Below are 23840 nucleotides of genomic sequence, written 5' to 3'. Positions count from 1 at the left end.
TGAATGGAGCTGGTCCTGGGCGCTCCCTTCCCGCCTCCAGCACCCCAGTTATCATGCTCCCTCCTGAGCCAGAGGGGACAAGTCACAGCATGGCCATTCACAGACAGGAGAGAAACGCAAGGTTGGTGTGAGCTCCCTGGAAGCCCCAGGATGTGATCTTTAATCGATGCTCCTGGCCCTGCCTCCCCACCCCCAGCCCAGGTGGCGTATGTACAGGATGCTGTGTGGAGGCCCAGGCAGAGGCAGCCTCCACTCCTCCCTGGGTTCTGCCAGGGTAGGCACTCGCCAGGGCGGGGCAGGAGGATACAGACAGCTGGGAGCCAGGGTGGACTGGTCACAGGAAGTCTCATGTTCCCCACCCCATATACACGAGCACACACAGATACGCCCATATGTGCAGAGGTATTCACACTTGTGCAGAGGTGTGGATCCAAAAGCTGTGCCCAGATGCACTGTACCTGTGTGCACGGGTGCACCACCAGAGGACAGATGCCTTAAGGCAGCGCAGCAATAGTGCAACACCCAGCCCTTCCCCCGCCCTGCATCAGCTTGCAGGGCTGGTGGAGCAGAGCTGGCCGGAGGGGCCCCTCCACTCAGCCCTTGAGTGGGCAGTGCCAGCTGGAGCTCAGTGTGTGGACCCCACTGCTGTCGGGTGCATCCAGCTACCCAAAATGGTGTCAGCGGGTCCCAGGCCTGTTTGCCCCTGAGGGTGTTGTGAATAAACAGGGGGCGATGCCCTCCACAACGCCTCCTCGAAGGTGCCCCAGAAACAGGGGCTCAAGCAGGTAGCTCACGGGCCCTGGGGTGTCAGAACTCCCTGCCGAGTGAGGGCAGGGCAACCCTGGTGACAAGAACTGTATTCACTTGTGGCTTTCATCCATTAGGTAGCTGGCCCCCATCTTGCCCCTGCCAGCTACCTTTTAGGGTCAAGGAGCCAGTGCTCCACCCTCCCAAGCAAGGGTCATGAGGGAAGGCCACCGGCAGGACTGTGTGAGAAGACTGAGGAGCTGTGCCTGGCTCTACCTGGCTCTCAGGCTCGCTGCAGCAGGGATGGGTGGGGGTACGTAATGGGGGAAACATCTGTAAACTTACTACTCGGCTCTGGAATGGGGGTAGGGAGTGGAATGGACTAGATGGGGCCTTAAGGACTTCTAGCAGCCTAGGATCATCCATGAGACCTCCCTTTCCTACTTCCTCTTGCATATCCCAGGCAGAGACCCTAACCCTCCAGGCACTGGGCCACCTCTGGCCTTCCCTACCTGGGAGAGTCCTCCCCAGAAAGATGGCCCAGGTGGGGACATCTAGGCCACACCAGGGGGCACCTAAACCCTGAGTCGGCCCCAGAATCACCCTTCTTGAAAGGGGGAAGGTGCCATTTTATTATAGGAACTATATTTTCTAGAACCCCCCCCGCCCTGCCAAAATCCATGTGTCCTGACAGGGACAGCAGGACGGTTGTTTTCGAATTGGAGACGATCTGGGACATGTGGTTGCCGTACCCATAACCTAGGCCTTGGGCATGGCACAGGCAGCTTTGGTTTGAATCAGCACTCATACTTCCTCCAAGCTCAGCGGGGCTAAGCGGGGGCAAGCTGGGATGCCCAGCCCCTGACTGTGCTCAGTGACAGGACTTCGGGTGTGGTCATCCTTGGGGAGGGTCTAGGGCATGGCCATACCTCAGTTTCTCCGGGCCCTCCTGTAAATGTCAAAACATCCCCACATCTGCCCTGGCCCCAGCACCCCCGAGTTTACATTCATCGATTAAGATTCAGTTTTAAAAAATGTAGATGTCAGCCCCGTCCCCCTAGGTCCCAGAGAGGTAAGACCCTGGTCTCAGCTGCCTGGTTGCAAGGAGGGGCCATCCAGGCTAGGTCCACTGGTGGCTGCCTGGGGGCATCCCTCCAGGCGCCCCCGAGTTGAGCTGTGGCAATCCATGAGGTGGAAGCTACATTCACACGGGGCAGTGGGTGTGCAAGGCTGAGCCGCAGGAGGTGGGTGGGGGACTGTGGAGGAAGTGCCCTCCAGGCCTGGTCCACCCTGGTGGTGCCAAGGGCAGGGCCACAGCCCCCACCCAAACCCCTGCGGAGCCAGGAGTTGAAGGGTTTGGACCTGGAAGACATTTGCATGGTGCCTCCCTCCGTGGCTGGATGGGGGCAGCCTCGTGGTTCAGGGCCGAGACGGTGGGTGCCAGGCTTGGAGGGAGGAGGGTGGCACTTAGGCCCCTCCGGACCTGGAACGGAGAGGGGGCATCAGGGGAGGACGTGAGCAGGGGCCACGGGGAGAGCCCCCCAGCAGGGCCCCGGAGCTCAGTGCTGGGCCCTGGAGGCAGGCGGCAAGTCACAGGCTGGCCAGGGAAGGGATCTGCGGGAGGTCAGACAGTGGTGATATGGAAGACAAAACAGATGGGACGCACAGGGAGGGCCCTCCCGGGGATGGGGACTGCCAGGGGCGCAGCTCCAGTTCCACCTGGTGGCAGGGGAGGGCCTGGCCGCAGCAGGGCAGTCGAGAAGGACGTGGCCTGAGCGGGCGAGGGCGAGGGCAGCTGGGACCTTCTTCCCTGAGCGAGGCTCTCCCACCCCTGCCGGGACAGCCTGGCAGCAGGGGTGGGGGAATCAGCCCCCGCTCCCCATCAACAGAACGCGGGGTGACGAATGAGATGGAGGAGACAAGGACAGCGGGAGGGATGACGTGGCCGGCATCACACTGCCCCCTGCTGGGTCGGGTCGTACCTTCCTCGGCGAATGTTTCTGCAGGGGGAGGATGGTGGAAGGGGAGAGGAAAAGGAGACATCTGACCTTTTGCTTCTCTCAGGGAGGGGCCTTTGGCTGCCATGCGACCCCTTGCCCCAGAGCGGGGCCGGGGTCCCCGGGGCCTGGACACTAATGTAAGGGCCAGGGAGAATTACCCAGGGCACCCACAAAAATGCGTCCCGGTTCCAGCTCTGACTCTGCTACTAACTCAATCATGTGACCTTGGGCCATGGGTTCCTCCTCTGCACATTAAGGGGGTTAGACCAGCACAAGGACCCCAAACTTAGACACGCACAAAGCATTATAGGCTGGGTGGGGACTGGAGACTGGAGGACACATGCCTGGCTTGGGTGGCCCCTGCCCAGCTCCACTCTGTGGCTATTTGGGGATGCTTAGAGGCACGCTGGGGCTCAACCTTTTCATGTTTCCAGAGCTGGAAATCCGAATTGCTAGTGTAAAATCTCCTGATTTCTTTTCTCTTTTCTTTTCTTTCTCTCTTTCTTTCTTTTTTTTTTTTTTTTTTTTTTTTTGACGCAGTCTTGCTCTGTCACCCAGGCTGGAGTGCAATGGTGCGATCTCAGCTCACTGCAACCTCCACCTCCCCGGTTCAAGCAATTCTCTGCCTCAGCCTCGCAAGTAGCTGGGATTACAGGTGCGCACCACCATGGCTGGCTAATTTTTGTATTTTTAATAGAGACGGGGTTTCACCATGTTGGCCAGACTGGTCTTGAATTCCTGACCTCAGGTGATCCGCCTGCCTTGGCCTCCCAAAGTGCTGGGATTACAGGCGTGAGCCACCTCATCTAGCCTAAAATCTCCTAGTTTCTAAATGTTAAGCCCTGCAGGCTACTTGGACCTATGACGTGTGAGCTCTGGTTCAGTTGGGCTTTCAGGGAGGGCCCCCTCAGCTCCACCAGTAGGGATTCTGATCCCCCCTCAAGGATGCCAGGGGGCACAGGGTGTGTGTGTCTCTTACTTAAATCCCCAGCCCGTGCCGCCCAGGACGATGGCTGCAACCAGGACAGCCCCAGCAATGGAGCCAATGATGATGTTGGTGCCGCTGGGACCTGGGGAGGATGGCAGGGCTTAGCTGGCAAGGACAGGCATAGAGAGCAGGACAGACAGACCCCCCTCGGCCAGCTCCAGCCTCACCTTTATATCTCTCCGTCTCCCCCGTGGGTGGGGACGTGGGCAGGGGGTTATGGATACTGCAGTCTTTGCCTGTCCAGTCTGGCTGACAGATGCACTTCCCTTCATTGCTGCAGACCTAGAGGCAGGGCAGGGCCAGGAGAGGTGAGCAGGGGCCTGTCCCCTCTTGTAAGCTTCTCCCGCCATCCCAGGCTCCAGGCAGTCACCCCGTGGTGGGAGCAAATCCGGCGCTCCCCACTGCCGGGGCAGGTGCTGAAGTTGAAGGCAGAAGCTGGCAGGCAGCGATGGTCCAGGCACAACATGTTAGGCCCGCAGGCTGTGCCATCCTCCACATAGCTCAGGTCAGAGCCGTCCGCCAGCTGCACGTGGCCTCCCCTGGGGAAGTGACACAGCCAGCCTCAGCCCCCTGTCTCCTAACCCCCAGCACAGCTGCAACCTCCCCTCCCTAGTCTTGGTCCTGGCCAGCACCTGCAGTCCAGCTCCTTGCCCTGGTGGTAGAAGGTGACACTACTGATGTCTCCCACCAGGTCCCCTAGCCGAGGAGCTCCAGAGATGTTGACACAGAGGAGGAAGCCACACAGCACGTCCCTGTTGGGGCATATAGAGACAGTGAGCCCCAAGTTTGACCTCAGACTCAACTACTGAACTCTAATCTGCCCTCACCCTGCACCCTGCCACCTCATTTGCCACGTGCCCGCCCATTGGGACTGACAGGCTCCTCCTGGGAGAACCTGCTGCCCCATCTCTGAAAAGTCTCACACCTGCCCTGGAGCTGAGAGGCCCTCTGGGAGCCTCAGTACTCACTGCTTACTGCACTGGACCCAGCCAGATCCCTTGCGCCCACAGCTCCCACGCTCCGTCCCCTCCACATTCAGCTTCTCGTAGCAGAAGCGATCAGCAGCCGCTGTGGGGAGAGGATGCCAAGTGACCCCACGCGCCCCAGGACCCACCCCAAGACCTCAGGCCTGCATCTCCCACACTCTGCCTGGGTCCCTGAGATCCTGGGGAGCTACACACTTGGGGGCCTGTTCAGCTGGAACCCACTCTCCCCAGCTTCTCAGCTCTGGGTCCTCCGGAGTCCCCACTCCCAGCCCTAGCCAGACTCACCATGGCCCCAAAGAACCTGGCACTGCCGGTCCCGGGTTTTGCAGCGACCTCCGTAGCAGCGGCCCTGAGAGTCCAAGAATTAAGAGGCAAGGGATGGAGATGCTGAGTGGTCAGAGTGGAGACAAGAGACTGCCCTGAATCCCAGGCTCAGGGGGCAGCCATCATACCTGCTCATGGTCACAGTAGTAACCGTCCAGCTTGTGCAGGTTAGGCGGGCACTGTGGAGAGAGGGGTGGGGTTGAGCGGAGCAGTCCCAGGACTGGAGCTGAGGGCTGCCCCAGGGAGGAATGCTGGGGTACCAAGTGCCCCCCATTGGGGGCTCATGCCACAGGGCTCTTCCACGCCTAGGACAAGCGATCTGTCTGGTTCTGGACCCAGACCACACGGATTTGCAAGCCCCAGAGCCGCTCCAGCCTCCCTCCCTCGTAGGGCTGGGAGATAAATGCCTGGCATGTAATTAGGTTGTAATAGATGTTAACTAATATTATCGTCTACTCTGATCCCTAACCTACACCAGGCACCGGGCCAGGCGCTGGGAATACCAGCCAGACGATACATTCTGGTTTAATGATTGAAGGAACAAGGCCAGGAGCATGAAGAACCCCTTTCTCAGATAAGAAAACAGTCTGATCAGTGGAGGTCGATGCCAGCTGTGGAGAGGAGGGGAGTGCTGAGCACTCGTCCGGGAAAACCAAATCGACAAGGGTAGGGGTTGCCTCGCCCAGGGCTCCACAAGACGGCGGGGCCGGGCGGACCTGGCTAGAGTCCCCGGTGCAGGTCTCCGCGATGTCGCACTCGTTCACGGCCTCTCGGCAGGACACACCCCGTGGTTCGTACTAGGGAAGAGACGCGCTCCTCGAGTCAGGCAGGATGGATGCCTCGGCCCTGCCCTCCCCAGGCCCCTCGCTCTCTGGACCCCCACATCCCCGGGCCCTCCAGCTCCCCAGGGCCCCGTTTCAGGCCTGTTCTTATTTCCCTGCTCCCACCACCTCTTGAACGCTCCCCACCTCGCTCCCAGCGCACTCAGCACCGCCCCCAAGCCCGCCCACCTTCCCGCCCCTCCTTGATTCTGGGCAGCCTTCCCTTCCCGCTCCTCGTAGCCCCGCCTTCAACATCCTTCAGCCCCGCCCCTTGCTCCCCATTGGCGCTGTCTTCGCATCAAGCCCTGCCCCAGAGGCCTTCGTCCCCGAAGGCTCCGCTTCCCTCCCTAGCTCCCACCCCTTATATGAAGGCCTCCAATCGCTCCTCCTGCGTCCTGGCCCCGCCTCCCGGCCGGTCCTGCTTACCTTGCAGCGGCGACAGCAGAGCCCGTCGCTGCACATGGCGTCGTGAGTCAGGGTGCATTTCTTGCAGCAGTTGCCACCTGCGCGGCTGCACTCCTGAGGGACGCGGGAGGAGGGGAAGGAGGCGGGCGAGCCCTAATCCTCCCACTCAGACGCTCCCTCGTGCCCACCCCCGCATCCCGGTTCCCCACCTGGCGCCCGCACCACCGCTCACCTGCACCGAGCCGCAGTCGCACTCCTCCCCTGCCTCCACGAAGCCGTTCCCGCACTCTGGGGGGTCCAGGAGCTGGACCGGGAGGACAGGTCGGGAGTCTGGCCCGGACCCCGCCCAGGGCCCGCTCCCATGCTCCCCGCCGCGGGGCTGGTACCTTGAGGGGCTTGTTGAAGAGGCAGCTGCCACCACCCTCCTGCAGAAACTGGTTGTACTCGTCGATGCTACAGCGCGAGAACTTGCGGGGCAGGTAGAACCTGGATAGGGCGAGGGGAGGTGCTGCTGGCTGCTCCCCTCCAACCCACCCTCACCCCTCTCAAGGCTGGGGAGGGGGTACACTGGGGGACTTCGTCACCATCGCGAGGAGGCGGAGGATCTGCCCCGGGATTGCACCAGAATCCTCCCGCCTGTCCCTGTCGCTCCCATCCCCTCCGCTGAACCTGGGGACTCGCAGCCGCGCTGGAGGGAAGGTGTCTCCATGCGAGGCTTGGGCGGCGCCCAGTGGCCACGATGCGCACTGCAGCCTGGCCGGTTTTGGTGTCCCAGCAGGGAAATCTGGGTCTCCCGGGGCAGTGTTTGCGGAAAACTGGGCTTCTTGGGATCCTGAGTGGTTCTGTGAGCTGGGCCTCTTGAGCCCCCTGGTCCAGACTGCCAAACAATGCTCGCTCTAAGACTCCCCTCGCCCAAGACCTTCCCCCGGTTTGTCCCCAAGAACTCACCCAGTGTCCTCCATGATGCAGCCCAGCCAGATGTCTGGACACTTGCAGTCCCCTGAGGGGTGAGCCAGGCGGATATGAGGGAGGCCAAGGACCACCCCTCCCACTGTCACCCTCCCGTTCCAGAGCTGCTGGGCGTGGGCCACACGGGGGCCTCTGGGGGAGGATACCTGCCGAGCTCCGGTGTTTGTTCCACATCATGCCCAGGTTCTGTCCCAGCGTCTGGGCAAGGGTCACGGCCATCGCCCCCATGTTGCCGTACTGGGGGTGGGGAAGATGGGGCACAGATGTCTACATCTTCCAACAGGCACGTCGTGCCCCTGAAGCCCCTTTCCCTCAGCCGCCACCCCAGCCATGTCCCCCCACTGCTCACCTCGTTCACACCCCCGCCGTGGGACAGGGAGCATATGCCCCCCACGTAGGCTGCCCCGCTGCTCGTGCTCTGGAAGGTCCTGCCCCTGGAAGGGAGTGCGCTGTCAGGATGGCCTCCTGCCCTCCCCTGTGGCTCCCCGGGTGGTGGTGGGGCCTTGGGGAGCCCCTCACACTAGAGTCCTTCCTCAGGAGGTGAGCCTGGCCCTTTACATCAGCCTTGGTGACCCCAGGCAAGACCCTTCCCCCCCTCCTTGGGTTCTTTTTTTTCTTTCTTTTTCTTTTTTCTTTTGAGACAGAGTTTCACTCTTGTGGTCCAGGTTGGAGTGCAGTGGCACCATCTCAGCTCACTGCAATCTCCACCTCCTGGGTTCAAACGATTCTCCTGCCTCAGCCTCCCGAGTAGCTGGGACTACAGGTGCACACCACCACGCCTGGCTAATTTTTGTATTTTGAGATGGGGTTTCACCATGTTGGCCAGGCTGGTCTTAAACTCGTAACCTGAAATGATCTACCCGCCTTGGCCTCCCAAAGTGCTGAGATTACAGGCATGAGCCACCACGCCTGGCCCCTCCTTGGGTTCTTTTGCCCATAAGGCAAAGGAGAGGCTCCCAGTAGACCATCTCTAGTTGCAAGGCCCTTTTATTAGATTTTTTTCCCTACTAGGGCACTGGGTCCCTGAGGAAGGGATGCTGGGACAGTTTGAAAGGGGAAAGACAGAACTAAGGGGAGGTGAGAGGCAGAAGAGGACCACCAGGGCTAAGACAAGGGCATCAACCTCAGATTCAGGGGATGATGCCCAGCTGTTGCATGTGGCTGGGGGTAGGTGGCAGGTGCAAGGTGAGCCCAGTCCCCAGACTCTGAGAGGAGCAGCCAGCACAGGGCAGGTGTTAAGTAATCCCAAGCACTGTAGCAACTAGCAGAGGCTGGCAGGAGGTGCAGGGTGGGGGACTCACGAGAAGAGGTGGGTGGCATCACTGGGCTCAGGCAGACCCTCCCGTCGGTAGACCATGAGCCGGGCCAGGGTCTCCAGGAGGTCATCCTGCACCTGGATCTTGTCCCCATCTGCCCATGTTTCCATGGCAACCAGGACGATGCGAGTGTTGAGCTGCTCCTTGTATATCTGGGGAGAAGATGAGGGGGCTGGAGGGTGGGAGTGGGTGTTGGGGCCAGGGCTGGAGGAGGGCCTGTCTGTTCTCTCCAGGAAGTGGGAGCCAGGGGCTGACAGTGCCCCCTAATGTGTGTGGTGGGGTGGGGGGCATGAGGAGGAGGGAAGGGAGGGAGGGAGAGCTGCTTACCACATCGGCCAGGTTCACCACGGACTTGGCAAAGTTGCTGGTGAGGACCACCGACTGTCGCATCTGCTCGAACTGGGAGAGAGAAGAATGGGAGGAGGGCCAGGCTCCTCAGGGGCCTCCCAGTGTCACGCCCTGTCCCTGCCCTGGCACTCACCAGCTGGTGGTCGTTGATCACAATTAGCTCCACATACTTGGTTTCACTGTGCACTGTAGGGTGGCCCCGGCGGACCTGGGGGGTGGGTGGGCACTTGGAATCAGTCCCTTCCATGTCTGACTGATCTCATGGCCAAGCCAGGAACAGACTCGGTGGGGATGGGGGGGTCTGGACTCCAGCCAGGGACAGTGCCAGCTCCCCACTGGCAGAGGGTCCTGTCCTTCCTCAGCTTTGGAATGAGGGCAGGCAGCCTCGGTTTGCCCAGGATGGGGCCTCTGTAGATGCCAGCATTAGGGAAGGGGTGGGGGCTTCTCCCAGACACGGTCCCTGGCCCCCAGCCACATCCATCTGAGCCTTCCTTCGCCCCAGCCATAGATGAGGGTGCCCTCCTGCTCTGGGCCACGGCCTGAGGTCTCTCTGCAGCCCGAGGTCTCTGCAGCCCGAGGTCTGTGCGGGCCCCCGTACCTGCCTTTTCCTTCTCAGCCTCGGCCGGTTTGGAGGAGCCGACTGGGCAGGCACAGCAAACAGGCAGCCTGTGGGGAGGGGCAGGTGAGGGGGGCACAGCCGGCCCCTCCCCACCCCCCCTTCCCTCCCTTACCTGGTTCCCTGCATCCGAGGGGATCTGGGAGGAGAGGGGTCCGGTAAATGAGGTGGGGAAGGGGTCCCTGCAATGAGGGGAAATTAGTTCTTGGGGTGCCAACTGGGCCTGCTCCAGGCCCACTTGGCGGGGGCCAGATCCAGCCCTCGCCTCCACCCCACCCTGGGGTGACCCAGAACTGGCCACAGCTCCCATGTCGGATCTGATCTCCCAGATGCTCAGATTCCGGGGTCAAGACCTGGGGGCACCCTGAGAGACAGGGGCAAAGGACATTGGAGCCCAATGGGAGGTCACTTATGGGACAGATGGGACATTGGAGCTGGGGGCACAGGGGGAGCTGGGGCACAGGAGGGAGGGAACCAGAGCTGGGGTCACTGAAGAGGGCAGTGAGGCTGGGGTTACTGAGGGAGGAGCCGGAGGAGGAAGAGGTGGCAGCAACAGCTGTTGGGACAAGCTTGGCAGGGCCACCAGAGAGGATGGCAAGGGGTTGTGTGGGGCTTACCTGAGGGGCTCCCCAAGGTCCAGCCACCTCTTGGGGCTCCACGATGTAAGTCAAGTTCCCATCAGAGAAGACCCCACTGTGGAGAGAGAGGCGCAGCTCCCCTCCGTCCCCAGGCCTGGGCCAGAGGCTTCTCCCAGCTGCCCGGCCCCTCCCCATACTCACTGCAGCCCCTGGCAGGTGGAGAGGGCGGCGAAGGAGTGCGGGTTCCCCCGGAGCTTCCCCTGGTAGTAGCAGTGGTCTCCAGCCCCCTGAAGGAGCAGAACAGTGAGCAGAACGCTGGCATGAGGCCGGGGGCAGCCAATGGGCCTCAAGGCTTTTTGGGGGACACTGAAGCTGCCCTGTGTGCAGGTGGCCACAATCCCTGGGTATGCCTGGGGCTCTGGAGCCTGTTTCTAGATGGCTGGTGCTCCTAATTTGCCGTGCCACCCTGGGCAAGTTCCTAGCCCTCTGGGGTTAGGAACCTCTGGGCCTCCTTCACGTCATCTATAAAATGAGGAAGCTGGACTGTAGCAATGGTTTTTTTTTTTTTTTTTTGAGACAGGGTCTTGCTGTCGCTCAAGCTGGAGTGCAGTGGTGTGATCTTGGCTCACTGCACCCTCTGCCTCCTGGGTTCAAGCCATTCTCATGCCTTAGCCTCAGCCTCCCGAGTAGCTGGGATTACAGGCATGTGCCACCACACATAGCTAATTTTTGTATTTATTTATTTATTTATTTTTTGAGACGGAGTTTCGCTCTTGTTGCCCAGGCTGGAGAGCAATGGCATGATCTCAGCTCACTGCAACCTCCGCCTCCCGGGTTCAAACAATTCTTCTGCCTCAGCCTCCCAAGTAGCTGGGATTACAGGCATGCACCACCATGCCTGGTTAATTTTGTATTTTTAGTAGAGATGGTGTTTCACCATGTTGGCCAGGCTGATCTCAAACTCCTGACCTCACGTGATCCGCCCACCTCAGCCTCCCAGTGATGGGATTATAGGAGCCCAGCGTACAGCAAGGGTTCTTAGCCATTTGCTGGGGCTGGGGAAGGGATCAGACTCCTTTGAGAATAACAGGCAACATTTATTTAGCACCTACCATGTACCCAGCACTGCTCTGGCACTAACCATATATTACCTCATTTAATCATGTACTCGCCCCTAACATCACACACAACCTCATGCACTGCCTCCCAGGACACCCCTGGGCCTGTGGTTGGCTGAGGAGTGATGGGCAGCATGTGTCCTCCTGGCCAGACTCATGGGTTGGGGCTGGGGGGACCAGTGGCACCCTCCCGCTCCAGCTCTGCCTCCTGCAGAATTACTTGTGCTCCAGTTACTGAACAGGCAGTGGGGGCGGGGGGGGGGGAGACAGGCTATTTATAGACACTCATTCATTTTCAGGCTCTAGAGCCTTCAGGGCTGGGACCCTAGTGTCCCAGGCAGCTGGGATTTTCGGGGCCTTGATATTGAGTAAGAAGGGCCTTTCCTCAGCTGTCCCTCTCAGAAGAGTCTGGAGAGGGGGATTCCTGGCAGCCTGCTCGGAACGAGTGTCCCTGTAGGCCCCACGTGGGCTGGCTGGGGGTCAGAGCTCTGGGGCCAAGTGAGGGGACTTCAGGGCCCTATGCACTCAAGCTGCCCACTGTCCACCCTCAGAGCCTCCTGGGTCGGGAGAGAGGGAAGGTGCTGAGGGGCCAGGCCCAGGACCCCATCTCCAGTGGCCACCTGTCCCTACACCTGTGACCACAGAACCACAGAAACAGCACCTCCCTTCCATCCCCGGCCCCGGTCCCCTGCAGTGGCACTCACGGTGCTGTGCTGGGTTGTCCCCTCCCGGCTGAAGTGGCGCTCCACGTATTGCGAGGAGAGGAGGTGGCTGAGACAGAGGGGGCAGCAGGAAGGGGGGTCACGGGCGAGGTGAGGTCGGGCTTGAGGCTCGCCTCAGGTCAGGACCCAGGTCCCCTCTGCCCAGGCCCAACCCCCAGACCCCCAGCAGCCAGGCCCTAGCCATGTCTCCCCCGCCCCACCACTGCCCTTCCTCTTGGGCTCAAGGCCACACTCACTGGTTCAGCTCCAGGTCCAGGGTGAAGTTTGAGTTGAAGGCTGGGATGACGAAACTCACCTGGGCCAGATGGACAGGCTGGGTGGGGGGAGGGCAGAGGGGGAGTCAACCCAGGGAGGCCTGAAGGTGGGAGTCGGGGGGATCCCGGGAGCAACAGTAGCCCTGGGGAAGGGGTGGCCAGCCCTAGCAGCTGAGGGGACCATTGATTTGGGGGCAAGATGCTTTGTCCAAGCTCCTCTTCCTCCACGACCCTGCTCCTTTACTAGTGGGCAGAGGCAGGAGTGCTCAGCCCTGGGCACAGCCCCCTTTCTGCCCTCTGGGCCCGGGCACCTGTGCATCCTCTCTGGGGCTGGGCTGCAGGTGCAGCTGGGATGGAGAGGGGCAGCCCGGCCAGCCCTCTGCCTCATTATGCCCTCCTGGCTGGTGAGGGGCACCCCACCATCAGGCAGAGTAACGGGAGGGCCCCAGGAGTATCATGGGAAAGGGACAAACAGGAAATGGGAGGCAGGACCCTCGCTGCCTGTCCCCCTACCCCGGCCCCAGCCTCCATCTACATAGGAGGCCTCGGACAGGGGCGAATGGGTGGGAATGGATGGCTAGGCCCCTGGAAACTGGGCGACGGGCAGGTGCCATCCTGTTGGGAGTAAGGACTTGGCTCCTCTACCCCCAAATCCATTGCCCTCTGCCTCACCCAAAGCAGCTCATCTTTAATATTTCAATCCCATGGTTAATTTTTAAACATGGAAGTTTTCCTGATAAATTTTTCAGAGTGCAGTGGGGCTGGAGGCTCCAGGTTGCCACAGCAACACACCACGCCAGAGCAAGATGGCGGCCCCCCAGGCCTGGGCGCTTGAGGACGCCTGGATCACAGCAACCGCAGGGCCCAGGAAGGGCTGAGAGGACTCAGGGCTGGGGCCTTCTCCACACCCCTTGTTCATTCCAGAAGACTGACTCCAGACCCCAACATGAGGGTCACCCACTCTGCCCTGCAAATGGGAGGCTTTTGTTCGCTGCCTGGCCTTTGTGGTGGGGACGGCAGGTTGCAGGAAGGAAGAGAGCCCCAAGGTTGTGGTCATGAAATCCATAGCCTGTGCCTTGTCGGCTTCCTCCTCAACCACCTCATCACTGCTAATCTTTACCGAGCACTTCTTGTGTGCCGGGCCCTGGTCTAAACACTAAGAGTATTGCCCTGTTTGATCTTCGCAGCAACCCTATGGGATAGATTACTGCCATTCCCATCTGAAAGGAGACAGGCACAGTGGGGCTGACTAACTTGCCCAAGGTCACACAGCTAAAAAGTGGTGAAGCTAGGGAGTCTGCTTCTAGGGCTGTCTCACCCCAAAGGTGGAGTAAAATGGAAGAGGGCCCAGTGTCCATGAGAGGTCCTGGGAGAGGAGCAAGGGGGGCACCAACGGCCAGGGCCTGGGTGGGCTGACCTTTGCGCCCCAAGGACACCGACTCACCCTATTCCAGGCTGACCAAGGCTCCCAATTCCATCCTGAGCCCCTAGAGCATTGATCAGCCCGAAATAGAAAGTCAAGGACAAGGAGTCGCCACATCCTCTTCCCGGCCCATGGCCTGAACCATCCTGGCCTTCCCCTGCCCCTGGGACTGTTCCTGCTTGTTCTATCTGCCTCCCACCAACAAGCCCCTATGCCAGCCCCCTCCACAGCTGCCTAGAGGAGCAGCCTGCCAGACCCCTTGCCCCAATGCTGCTCTCTGACCGTGCAGCCCCAGGGATGACCCAGCAACCTCTCTGTGCCTCAGATTTTCCCACTGAAAATGGTCAGATGAGCCCAGATGCGAGGCCAGGAGGTTGGCTACGTATTGGTACCATCCTGGGCCTGGAGATTCCAGCAGAGTCTGCCCTGGCACCAACAGAATCTCCCTCACTCAGGAGGTCTGCGAGCCACCCCATCAAGCCTGCTTCCTCTCTGCAGAGGCCAAGCCAGTCCCCACTCTGGGGAAAGCCCCAGCTGATGGGGGATGAAGGCCAGATACCTTAAGAGCCTCCTTGTCCACCACCTCCTGCCACCTGCTGAGCTCTCACCACTTCCCCATCTGGTGCAGCTGAGCCCAGCAGGACACAGGGCTCAGACCAGATAAGCCCCTGGGGCAGTGCCGGGGCAGCTGGGGCTGGGGGCTGGGCCTGGCTGGAGGTGGCCCAGGAGGGGGCTGGGAGAGCCCCCAAAGGCGGTAGGAGAAAGAAAGAGACCACATACCAAGGGGTGTTTGCCTGGCCTGGCCCCATGCGGGGACACAACCCTGTCCCTGGTCTGAGGGAAGAGATGGGTCACACAAACCTATCTCAGTCCCCAGAATCTCTGTGGCCCTGGCACCTGGGGAGTGGGGAGGGGACTCCTGCTGGCACAGAGTCCCAAGACCGCCCCAAGCCCGCCCAGCATTAGGCCAATGTTCTTTTTTTTTTTTTTTTTTTTTTTGAGATGGAGTCTCACTCTATCACCCAGGCTGTAGTGCAGTGGTGCAATCTCAGCTCACTGCAACCTCTGCCTCCTGAGTTCAAGCAATTCTCTGCCTCAGCCTCCCGAGGAGCTGGGATTGTAGGTGCCTACCACCACGCCCGGCTAATTTTTTTGTATTTTTAGTAGAGACAGGGTTTCACCATCTTGGCCAGGCTTGTCTTGAACTCCTGACCTTGTGATCCACCCTTGGCATCCCAAAGTGCTGGGATTGCAAATGTGAGCCACCATGCCCAGCGAATGTTCTTTTTTTAAAATTAATTAATTAATTTTTTAAGAGATGGGATCTCACTGTGTTGCCCAGGCTGATCTTGAACTCCTGGGCTCAGACCATCCTCCCGCCTCAGCCTCCCAAAGTGCTAGGATTACAGACTTGAGCCTCCATGTCCAGCCTAAGCCAGTGCTCTATCAAAGCCAAACTGTGCTCCCTGCCTGGCCCTGCTTTCTGCCCCTGCCCTGCCTCTGACCTCATCCCATTGTCCCTCCATCCCTGGTGGGAGGGGCCTTTGGTCTTGAGGTCATGCCAGCCCTCAGCTGACCCTGTGCCCTGCACTTGTCTCTTGCTCCCCCGGCTGCCCAGGCTCTCACATGCTCCAGCTCATTTGATCTCAACGTGCCCAGGCTGTCTGGTCCTCATTTTACAAATGCCAGGATGAGGCTCAGGGAGACACCTGGAGGTGACTGGCCCAGGGTCATGGCTGGGTGGCTGGGGAGGTGTGGGGCTGGATCTCACCCTGGGGCTGGAGTTCGTGTCGCCACAGCAGCTGTGACTGCCTGGCAGGGGTGACCACCCCTTCCACCCGAGGCTCCTCTCTGGCTGGCCCACCCACTCTCCTAGACATCTGCTTCAGAGCGACTGTGCCTTGTCCTCTCTGTACCAGATGCGGGGTGCAGACAGAAAAAGGCAAAGATTCTGCCAAAGACCCAGAAGCACAAATACAGGTGCCTGGGCTCTGCCCCAGACCTACAGACACACAGTCTTAGGAAGGGAGAGACTAAGGAGCCTTAGGATTCTCAAATTCTCCAGGAAATTCGAGAAGGGAGACCATTGCTCCCCACCACTTCCAGACACGGCCCTTCACACGCTGACCCGGAACTCCTGCCCGGACCTCCCTCTCCTCCCCACCCTCATCTGCACAGCCTGCACCTGCCAACCCATGCAGGGCTCTGGCGCCCTCCACCTCTGGGCCTTTAAGCACACAGTAGACATACACTTCTTTGATCACTGATTTGGCTTTTCAGGTGGGCGACCTTTAGTTCCCTGGAGCAAGGGCGATGCCTGCTTTTTTTCCCTGCCCACGAGCTCAACACTCACGTTGAATGGAAATGTATCGCAAGGCCTGAGATAAGCTGCTTCATGCCCCCGGCCTCAGTTTTCCCCTCGGTAAAACAGAATTGTTGGGCCAGGAGCAGTGGCTTACGCCTGTAATCCTAGGAGGCCAAGGTGGGCGGATTGCCTGAGCTCAGGAGTTTGAGACCAGCCTGGGTAACATGGTGAAACCCTGTCTCTACTCAAACAAAAAAGAAATTAGCCGGGTGTGGTGGCATGTGCCTGTAATCCCAGTTACTCGAGAGGCTGAGGCAGGGGAATTGCTTGAACCCGGGAGGCGGAGGTTGCAGTGAGCCAAGATCGTGCCACTGCACTCCAGCCTGGGCAACACAGCAAAACACTCTGTCTCTACAAAAAAAAAAAAAAAAAAAAAAAGAGAAAAGAAAAGAAAAACCAGGATTGCTGTGAGGATTAAATAAAAGCCCTTTTAAATGTGGTATCATAAGGGTCAATAATAATAATAACGAGAAGGAAGTGTAAATGTTCCAGCTGAACAGGGCTTTGAGGAACTGCATAAACGACTCCTTTGGATCACCTACTGTGACAGGGACATGCCAGAATGGTAGCCTTATGCTCCAGATCTGGGTGGATGGTGTGATTTACCTGTCAGGTGTCTCACCTGAGGACATCTTTCTGGAATCCCCTCCCGCAAGGAGACACCACCACCTTGTGGGCCAGGTGGCTGCAGAGTGGGGAGGAGCCAGAGAGGCAGGAGCTCCACCTGGGAGTATGTCCCAGCTGGGAGAAACCCCCCACCCACCCACCCACCTGCCAGCTCCCCCCACCCACCCCCGGCAATGTGTTGGGTGCTCCATTTATCAAGAGGGCAGCGGGATTCCCAGGCAATGAGAACAGCCAGACAAATTTCCAATGATGGGATTTGACCTACATTTTTGAGAACAGAGCCACCTCCTTTTACAGGGTCATCAGTCCCTCTGGGGACAGACTCTGGACAGCTGGGTTCCTCTAGGCAGCCAGGAGGTTGCTTGGGTGAGGCCAAGCCCACAGGCCAGAGTCCTGCTCATGTGGTTTCTCCCCTGGACCCCACCCCGAGCCTGACAAGTAACCCCTAAATATCCTGGCTCCTGTTTCTGACACCCAGCCCTCATGCCAGCACCAGGGCCCAGCACCCTGTCCGGACACTCAGAGATGTTGACCATCGGCTCTTCTGCCAGATCTTGGGCTGGACACCTGACATTCATCATCTCAAGTCCTCGCAGCAGCCTGAGAGGTGGAGACTATGAGCATCCCCATTTTATGAATGAGGAAGGTGGTGTTCAGGGGGCTGCATGACTGGCTCAGGTCACACAGTCAGAAGCAGGGGAGCAGGACCTGCACTAAGGCTGTGCCACCTCAAAGCCACAGCGTGCAGCCTCTCACACCAAAACTAAGCCTGCTGAACTCTCTGGCATGGCAGAGCTCAGTTCATGCCCCCACCTCACCCCTGGGAACAAGCTGGGCCCAGCAAAATCCTAGCCCTGGCTTCTAGCCATCTGCCCCAACCCAGGAGAGAGCCGCAACTTCAGCCACACAGACTATAGCATGGCCTTGGCTCTAGTGGGGTACCAGGGCCCCAGGCACAGACCCTGGCCCCCCTGTGGCACCATGTCCATGACTCCCATCTTCAAGAGCTGGGGGTGAGCCTTACTCAACTGCCCTCCGCCTTTCTGCAGGACGAAAACACAAACACTGTTGCAGCACACACCCACCGTGGAGGGCTTCTGGGGTGGTGCTTCCAGTAAATGCTGGCCTGGGCATCTCTCACAAGAGCTTAGCCCAGAGACTGAGGCACCCCTCCCCTAGCTGGCTCAGATGAGCTTCTATGTACCAGGTCTGCGACCTCCTCACCCCTGACCCTAGTCACCTCCCCATGTCCTGCCCTCTCCTTGTTCCCAAGGAGTCTGGGTCTCCCCAGGGGCAGGCATAACCCATACAGCAGCTTGGTGCAAATTAGAAAAAGGGGTCCCAAGACCGGGTGAGGTGGCTCACACCTGTAATTCCAGCACTTTGGGAGGCCAAGGCGGGTGGATCACTTGAGATCAGGAGTTCGAGACCAGTTTGGCCAGCATGGTGAAACCCCATCTCTACTAAAAATACAAAAATTAGCTGGAAGTGGTGGTGCACGCCTGTAATCCCAGCTACTCGGGAGGCTGAGGCACAAGAATCACTTGAACCCGGGAGGCAGAGGCTGCAGTGAGCCGAGATCATGCTGCTGCACTCCAGCCTGGGTGACAGAGTGAGACTCTGTCTTAAAAAAAAAAAAAGAAAGAAAACAAGATCCCCCTGCAAGTCAGAACGCATGTGGCCCCATAAGCCCACAGATTGCATTCAGCTCACTTACTGCTTGCCCAGTCACCCTAGTGGAGTGAACAACCAGCCCAACTGGACACGGTAGTCTTGCCTGACCTGCACCACCCCTCGGCTGCAGGCTCCCTGGAACCACAGGTTTCTGCACTCCCAGAAGCTCCCTCACTTCTCTGGGCCTCAGGCCTAGCCTGCTTCCAGGCTGGACAGAAGTGAGGGGGTTGAGTGCAGTAGCAAAGAGAGGGCAAGGGTGCATCTGTGTCTCTTTTCCCTTCAGCCCTGAGCAAGAGGTGGCAGCGTGCTGGGTGAGAGCCCTGCTTTGAGGATCAGTCTTGACTCTGTGCTCAAGTGCTGTGTCACTTGGGGCAGTTACGTTGCCTCTCTGTGCCTGTTTCTCCATCTGCGAGATGGGAATAACAGCCCCACCTCTGGGAGCTGTGATGAAGATTAAATAATTCCACGTAAAGGAGTGCCTGCCCCAAAAAGGCCTAGTAAATAATTGTAATTTCTCTACCTTGTTCTTTTGTTGTTGTTGTTGTATTGTGTGAGACAGGATCTCACTCTGTAGCCTAGGTTGGAGTGCAGTGGTGCAACCATAGCTCACTGCAGCCTTGAACTCTTGGACTCAAGCGATCCTGCAGCCTCAGCCTCCCAAGTAGCTGGGACTACAGGTGCGCAGCACCATGCTTGGGTAATTTTTTTTTTTTTTTTTGGTAGAGACGGGAGTCTCACTATGGTGCCCAGGCTAGTCTCAAACTCCTGGTCTCAAGCAATCCCCTGACCTTGGCCACTGTGAGCCAATGCACCCAGTCTAATTTCTCCAGCTTCTAATTCCTTCTTGGCCGCTATATCTCTTCCCCTGTCCCAGTCGCACCCCCACCCTTGCCCCTGTCAAGCCAGGAATCCTCAGCACGTAAAGCTCTTTCCCATCACCACCTCCTGGTAGTAGGTGGGACTGAGATATGTTACCATCCTGATTTTAGGGAACAGGAAACTGGGGCTCAGAAAAGTCAAACGACCTGCCCAAAGCCACAGCAGCTCAGCGCCCCAGGCCCTGCCAGCCAGCATGTGCCCCTGGACTCGACACATGACCAGAGATCTTGCTGCCAGCTCCACACCGGCTAGGCTTGAAGTTCCAAACCAGGGCAGTAAGTTAAGGCAAAAACCAAGCAATGCCCAGCTGGGGTACTTCTGGCTAGGACACACACGGGCTCAAGTCCACACTGGATCCACCATCAGACCCCATGGCTCTGAGGCCAAAAGCGCTCTAACCCCAGGGAGAAATGCCAGGCAGGAGATTGAGGGTTTGCCATATCTCCTTACCGTTGGGGAAAATATTCTGGATGTGTCTTTTTGTCTCCTTGCTCTGGGCAGAGTTGGGAGACTGCCTCCTGGACCCAAATCCAGAGAGCCCTGGAGGCAGAACTGGGAAGTGCCCTGGTGTGGAGAAAACTCCCACCTCCACTGCTTAAGATCTGATTGACTTTGGGCAATTTACGTCATCCCTCTGAGCCTCAGTTTGCTCATCTGTAAAATGGGGCTGACAAAAGTTACAAGCTGCCAGGCGCAGTGGCTCACGCTTGTAATCCCAGCACTTTGGGAGGCCGAGGTGGGCAGATCACCTGAGGTCGGAAGTTCGAGACCAGCCTGAGCAACATGGAGAAACCCCATCTCTACTAAAAATACAAAAAATTAGCCAGGCATGGTGGCGCACGTCTGTAATCCCAGCTACTCGGGAGGCTGAGGCAGTAGAATTGCTTGAACCCGGGAGGTGGAGGTTAGGGTGAGCAGAGATCACGCCATTGCACTCCAGCCTGGGCAACAAGAGCAAAACTCCATCACACACACACATAAACACACAAAAGTTACAAGCCTTACAGAGTTGTGAGAAATAAGTGATGTAGAGTGCATACAAAGCTTGGCAGAGTGGCCCATAGAAGTCCACAGCTTTGGTACCTCAGGGGAAACTGAGGCACAGATAAGAGAGGGCCCCAAACAAGTCCCTTGAGGAGGTCGCCATGAGGGCCCTAGGAAGTCTCAGTCTCAGAGAGACCCCAAAATTGGAGATAATCACTGCCCGGCAGATCCATGGAACTCCATTCCCTCCCCGCAGGCTCTCAGACACCCCTCAGAAGTATCTGGAATCGGTGGATCACATACACACCTCACATGCACTCACTCACCTGCAGAACAACACAGAGACCCCCAACCCAAGCAGTTCAACTGCACCCATCCTGACCTTCCCACGCAGCTGCAGACACCACCACAGCCCAGAACCTCCTACCCTTTGCCACCTCTGTCTCTGTTCGGAAAGGGTCAGGCTGAAGGAGCAACCTGCCCAGTTGGAATACCTGACTTTTCATCCCTACCTGACTCCAGGCTTTTCCTCAACTCTGTCCCCTTTCCCTGCGGTGACATCCCTCCATGACTCAATCTGCACATCCCTTAAAGCATAAGCCAGAGTCCCAGCAGTCGGGCAGACCATCAGTTCCCCCACAGTGTAACCACGGGGTGCACAGTTCACAGGTAGGGAGTGACACCAGGCAAGACAGCCAGACTCAGCGGCCAGGACACCCCATCCCCGGCCCTAGGACTGCACACCTCCCAGGGAGCCTGGGCAGTTGCTGAAGGCAGCTTCCACCCCCCACCCCACCCCCAGTGACTGCGGGCCTTGGACCATTAGCCCCCTCCCCCTGCCCCTCTGCACGGCCCTGAGTGATGGTCCATCTATTATGCATGCTCCCTTCCTGCTCCATCCATTTCATCAGTATTCTCCACCCCTGCACCACCCCGCATCCCCCTCTGCTCCCCTCCCTTAAGGGCTTTTAACCAAGTACATTAGGCAGGGCCAGATGCCAGTCTGACAGATGTCCGTAATGTTAGCCTCCGTTTCCCTCCTTCCTCCCTCTGCCCAGCCCAATTTACCTCCCACCACTCCCCGCTGCCAAAACTTCCCAGGCCTCAGTTGTACCCCTCTTCTGGGTCTCCCCCCTATACCTCCTGTTTGTGCCGGGCCTTTGCCAGCCAACCTGCCCTCTGCTGCCCTGTTGGCCTGGCTCACTTTCAGCTCCAGCTCTTGGAGCGCTGGGGTGTGCTGAATGAATATTCCATCTGGGTGATTATTATTCACATGATATTAATTAATTATTAATTGCAATTAATCTCCTTCATGCCTAACCTTCCTCTGGGAGGCAGGAGGGGCCTGGCAGCTGAAAGGGACAGTGGGCAGGCAGGTAGAGCTGGCTTGGGGCCTCAAGTTATTTTCCAAGGCCCCACCTTCAGCCAGGACAGGAAGAACAACAAGCCTATCTGGGCACTGTGTGGAAACTGAGGCAGGAGCAAGCACTAAGTTGTTCCAAGAAAGCCCACTAAGGTGGCTGTGGTGAGAACCTGAGAGCCCTAATCCCTGACTGGAATCTGGGCTGCCTCTCCCTGCCCCCAACTTGCCCCATCCAAGCCCTGTTTTGAACAGAACAACTAGCTTTGGCCAGAGCAGAGCAGGGGGCCATTGGAAGGCTGACCCAAAGCAGACCTGAGACCTAGGCATTAGTGGTCCCTGTACACTGAGGGCAGGGGACCCTACAATAATGGAAGGGGGCCCTGGGGCTGGGCAGGCCTGGTGCTCCCCACCAGTGGGCTCCAGCACCCACCGGATAGCCCACTGTACAGAAGGGGACCCTGCGGGGCAGCTGCTGAGGGGGACTCCAACCCTGGTTACCCCGTGGGCTTCCTGGGGCTCTGAGGCCTGCTTCAGCCCCTGGCCTCACCACCCAGCCCCACTCACCGGGCCCCCTGGTGGCTCCTGGCGGACCCTTGTGTCCAGCTGCTGCTTTCGGACCTCTCCCCCGGAGCTCTCCCTAACCAGACGGCTGGGTTCCGTGACCTCAGGGGCTCCTGGGCCTCCCAGCTGGGGTAAGCCCCCCCATCGCAGAGCTCCAGCAGGACCTTGGGTCCCAAGACCTGGGGAAACAAGGCCATGGCTGCAGGCAGCTGCCCACCCTGGGGCAGAAGACTTGGGAATGGGGTGGGCATGCCTCATCCCCCACTCTGGTGTGGCCCCTGGAGCCCTAGGGCGATCCGGGTGGGAGGATCTGGCTGCCCTGCAGAGGCAAGAGCCCGCGGGGAGGGGGCCAGGAGCTTCACTCCCGCCCAACCGTCACGACTGCCCCCCCATCCGCCCAAACCCGCAGAGACCTGCAGAGCTGGCCGGTCGGCGGCAGGGGCAGGGACGCGGTGGGCCCGGCCAGCTGGGGACAGGTGGGTGGACGCACCTTCCCTCCTCTCCCGCTCCCCTACCCTCCCGCGCTCCGGACCGGCTGTCACCCCGAGCACTGCAGGAAAAGGTGGCTGCAGCAGCAAGCGCCGCACATCCCGGGGCGGGGGCAGGGAGGGGGCGCCGGGGCCGGGCGGGGGTCACTCACCGGGCGTGGGGAGCAGCGACAGCAGCAGAGCCGCGAACGCCCAGCGCCGCAGCAGCCTCATGGCTCGCTCATTCCTCCCGGTCCGGGGGCTGCGGCTGCCAGCGGCGCGGGGAGGGCGGGAGCAGGGACGGGGGTGGGGAGGCGCCAGCTGCGGAGCCGGGGCGGGGGCGCGGGGCCGGGCGGGGGTCGCGGAGAGGTGGGGGCGGCAGGGACGGCGCCGGGGCTCAGCGCGCTCCGGCCGCGGCCATCCCGGCGGGGCGGCGGGGCCGGGTTAAGAGCTGAGCAGCGAGCACGTGAGCCCAGGGCCCGCCCTCCGCTCTCCCGCCGCCCCCCGGCCCCCCCAGCCCCGCAGGGCCCGGGCCGCCGCCGCGGCAGGACAAAAGAGGCGCCGCCCCGGGGTCCCTCCTCGCACCTCGAAGTCTCCTCGGCAGGTGCGGGGCGGTGGCGCTCCGCGTACTTATCCCGCGGCCTCTCCTCGGCCACCTCTGCCTGAGCATCTCCGAGGACTCGTAGATTTGTAGGGGAGGGAAGCAGGGGACGGGGTACCCCCGGGGTCGACCCGGCGACTGCCTGTCTGGGGCCCGGGGGCAGGGGCGTGGCTGCGGCGCCCACGTTCGCCCCTCTGTCGTGGTACCCCAGAGAGGCTGCCCCAGCCCCAGCTTGGAGCGCCCCGCTTGACCCCAGGCTGTGGAAGCTGGGGTTGGGGTGGGCAAAGGCTCTTGGCGAACGCCGGGCTCTACGCCTCTGGGATTTCTTGCACCTTCGCTACGGGTCGTGTCACTGCGGAGTCCTCTCACGCCCGCGGTACAGACCCCTTCCCATCGGCTCCTTCTCCCCGCCAAAGATGCCCCGGCCTCCAGGAGGGCTTCAGGGATCGCTGTCACTCCAACCATCAGGAAGGGCTGGCATGTCCGTCTGGGTTCCTGAGTCTCTCACAGGCGTCCTGTCCTTCCTCCTAGATAAAATATAAACTAGCCAGGTCACTTATATGCTGCTAGCATGCCCCATGGCTCCCCCTCCCTTGCTAGTCCCAATCCTTAGGAGCAGAAGACACCTCTGGAGCCCCCCAGCATTCCCTCTCTGGTCAGACTAGGCTGCCCTGTCTGCAAAATACTTGACCTCCCAACCTACA

General features: G+C 59.6%; 1 protein-coding gene across 4 annotated transcripts, besides 6 other annotated features; it reads right to left on the bottom strand.

Moving 5' to 3' along the window:
- Positions 1-122: 122 nt before the first annotated feature.
- ADAM11 (ADAM metallopeptidase domain 11) lies at positions 123-22981 on the bottom strand. Of its 4 annotated transcripts, none has more exons than NM_002390.6 (27): positions 22709-22981; positions 22072-22247; positions 12175-12251; positions 11921-11987; positions 10300-10385; positions 10138-10213; positions 9636-9702; positions 9503-9570; positions 9038-9112; positions 8884-8955; positions 8542-8708; positions 7590-7674; positions 7387-7477; positions 7220-7271; positions 6658-6757; positions 6504-6575; positions 6293-6385; positions 5762-5842; positions 5174-5224; positions 5007-5070; positions 4704-4803; positions 4368-4487; positions 4106-4274; positions 3903-4017; positions 3727-3817; positions 2730-2747; positions 123-2230 (listed from the first exon to the last, which is right to left on the bottom strand). In NM_002390.6, exons 1-27 carry the CDS (start codon positions 22767-22769, stop codon positions 2215-2217), a joined length of 2310 nt encoding a protein of 769 aa, NP_002381.2. In that variant the 5' UTR covers positions 22770-22981; the 3' UTR covers positions 123-2214. The 4 variants fall into 4 exon arrangements, with proteins under 4 accessions (NP_002381.2, NP_001305862.1, XP_005257430.1 ...); NM_001318933.2 differs by having other exon boundaries at positions 9507-9570; XM_005257373.5 differs by having other exon boundaries at positions 123-2747.
- Positions 2362-2501: a silencer, noted in NCBI's record as "silent region_8601". NCBI's record gives its function as "represses an Ori minimal core promoter by ATAC-STARR-seq in GM12878 lymphoblastoid cells {active_cell/tissue: GM12878}" and the evidence as "EXISTENCE:reporter gene assay evidence [ECO:0000049][PMID:35858748]".
- Positions 2485-3326: an enhancer, noted in NCBI's record as "H3K27ac-H3K4me1 hESC enhancer chr17:42856011-42856852 (GRCh37/hg19 assembly coordinates)". NCBI's record gives its function as "activates a minimal SCP1, AML or CMV promoter by ChIP-STARR-seq in naive H9 embryonic stem cells {active_cell/tissue: H9 hESC(naive)}" and the evidence as "EXISTENCE:reporter gene assay evidence [ECO:0000049][PMID:30033119]".
- Positions 5421-5921: an enhancer, noted in NCBI's record as "H3K4me1 hESC enhancer chr17:42853416-42853916 (GRCh37/hg19 assembly coordinates)". NCBI's record gives its function as "activates a minimal SCP1, AML or CMV promoter by ChIP-STARR-seq in naive H9 embryonic stem cells {active_cell/tissue: H9 hESC(naive)}" and the evidence as "EXISTENCE:reporter gene assay evidence [ECO:0000049][PMID:30033119]".
- Positions 5421-6078: a biological region, named in NCBI's record as "H3K4me1 hESC enhancer GRCh37_chr17:42853416-42853916".
- Positions 5759-6078: a silencer, noted in NCBI's record as "silent region_8600". NCBI's record gives its function as "represses an Ori minimal core promoter by ATAC-STARR-seq in GM12878 lymphoblastoid cells {active_cell/tissue: GM12878}" and the evidence as "EXISTENCE:reporter gene assay evidence [ECO:0000049][PMID:35858748]".
- Positions 22789-23340: an enhancer, noted in NCBI's record as "H3K27ac-H3K4me1 hESC enhancer chr17:42835997-42836548 (GRCh37/hg19 assembly coordinates)". NCBI's record gives its function as "activates a minimal SCP1, AML or CMV promoter by ChIP-STARR-seq in naive H9 embryonic stem cells {active_cell/tissue: H9 hESC(naive)}" and the evidence as "EXISTENCE:reporter gene assay evidence [ECO:0000049][PMID:30033119]".

The sequence above is a fragment of the Homo sapiens genome, chromosome 17 (assembly GCF_000001405.40).
Source record: "Homo sapiens chromosome 17, GRCh38.p14 Primary Assembly".
NCBI classification, from domain to species: domain Eukaryota; kingdom Metazoa; phylum Chordata; class Mammalia; order Primates; family Hominidae; genus Homo; species Homo sapiens.
The sequence above is the reverse complement of the archived record's forward strand: the minus strand, read 5'-3'. Positions and strand labels throughout refer to the sequence as shown.

Excerpts from the sequence above, each read along its gene's own strand:
- ADAM11 (XM_005257373.5), bottom strand. The coding sequence starts at position 22,769 with ATGAGGCTGCTGCGGCGCTGGGCGTTCGCGGCTCTGCTGCTGTCGCTG. Across the intron at positions 22,248-22,708 it reads GTCGCTGCTCCCCACGCCCG|GTCTTGGGACCCAAGGTCCT; the intron begins GTGAGTGACCCC and ends TTGTTTCCCCAG. Across the intron at positions 5,843-6,292 it reads TCTGCTGTCGCCGCTGCAAG|TACGAACCACGGGGTGTGTC; the intron begins GTAAGCAGGACC and ends TCTCTTCCCTAG.